At 35.8% G+C, this 1,702-nt stretch overlaps 1 annotated feature.

The window, feature by feature from the left end:
- Positions 207–420: a silencer, noted in NCBI's record as "fragment chr6:153798026-153798239 (GRCh37/hg19 assembly coordinates)". NCBI's record gives its function as "represses an EF-1alpha promoter that drives an FKBP-Casp9 reporter gene in an ReSE screen in phorbol 12-myristate 13-acetate-treated (for megakaryocytic differentiation) K562 erythroleukemia cells {active_cell/tissue: K562(+PMA)}" and the evidence as "EXISTENCE:reporter gene assay evidence [ECO:0000049][PMID:32094911]".

The raw sequence follows: 1,702 nt of genomic DNA on the forward strand, positions 1-1,702 counted from the left end.
ATGATTGTACTTGTTCGCCTGTTTGTTTGTTTGTTTTTGAGACAGAGTCTTGTTCTGTCACCCAGGCTGGAATGCAGTGGCATGATCTCAGCTCACTGCAACCTCCGCCTTCTGAGTTCAAGTGATTCTTGTGCCTCAGTCTCCCCAGTAGCTAGGATTACACGCATGTGCCACCACACCTGGCTAATTTTTGTATTTTTAGTAGAGACAGGGTTTCACCATGTTGGCAGGCTGGTCTCAAACTGCAGACTTCAAGTGGTCTGGCTGCCTCGGCCTCCCACAATGCTGGGATTACGGGCATGAGCCACCGTGCCCAGCCACAAGACTGTACTTCTTTCCACAAAACCATAGTCTTTCTTTCCCTCCGAGAATGACTTGTTCTCCATCCTAACATCCAACCAGAGGAAGATCGCTGTCCCAGTATTTAGACATGGATTCTGATGACTTACATATGTGTATATATATTTAGATATAATGTTAGCCTCCCTTTTCCTCCCTGATAAAGCTCTGTTGTGTGATGGGAAATGAATGACTCCCATCAGATTGGATAACTTTGGCTTGCCTAAAGTGCAAGGACTACATACTGCTGCAAGTGCCTCAAAGAAAGTTCATAGAACTCTTTGTTTCTGACCATTTTGTGATGTCATTTTCTGAAAATTCACATTTCTGTGTCTCCTGTTGACTAGAATAATACAAAATCTGGAACAATTTGCTACTTTCTTATCGAAAGTGTTTTGCTGCTGCTTCCCTAGTGGCCTTGTTCCCTGCAGAGCACTCTGAATTGCATGATGCATTTTGCTTTTAGAGAAACAATATTTTCATGGTCTAAAATCATTACTTGGTAAGGAAGAACTTAATGTTTGTTCCATAATGCATTTGGCTCAGAAAACTTATATTTCTTTTTCCATATTTTTCTTTCTCTATAAAAGTCCAATTATAATTAGGAAAGGTGTTTCTCCACAACCACCTTATTTCTTTCTCTTGCCGTTGTTGAACCTACTCAATAAGTAAAAGCAAAACAAAAACAACAATGACACAATAATTTAAATAAAAAGGAAAAGGGGCAAGTTTTAAAATTTGCTTTTCAAAAATTTAGAGGCTTCAAAATGGGACTGTTCTTTTCCTGCCTGTATCTTATTTGGTATTAGCATTTAAACAATATCCAGTAAAACAATGCATTTGCGTTACTACATTTCTATTTAGGAAGCAAATAAACATTAATTTCTTTGTGGAAAAATATGCATATTTTAGAACTACAGATATTACAGTGAAATAATTAAACCCAAGTTAATGAAAGTTGAGAATTACTATACATAATTACTAAATATAAAAATCAGAGAGATCTAAATCATGGTATTTCCAATATTTTCAGCTTCCCAAATATTTGGAATGTTTCAGACCAAGTGAATTTCCCTGTTTTATCTATGTTGAGAAATGTTTTACTTCATGTCTTTTTGCTTTATGTTCAAGTATTTTTTCTTCCACTGATCATTTACAAAAGCTTCCACAAGAGATAAGAAACCCTGTGTGATCACAAAAAGAATTGATAGATGTTGGATGACTTTTTAGTTTTATGTATTTTTGTAGTTGTTTCGAAATGCATCATTATATTTCTTAATAACTTTCAGCAGAAATCTCAGACATGAAAATAACTTTGCTTACTTATGTATTCTGATTAGTTAACAAAGATACAGATGCTTGG

Source organism: Homo sapiens, chromosome 6, assembly GCF_000001405.40.
Source record: "Homo sapiens chromosome 6, GRCh38.p14 Primary Assembly".
NCBI classification, from domain to species: Eukaryota; Metazoa; Chordata; class Mammalia; order Primates; family Hominidae; genus Homo; species Homo sapiens.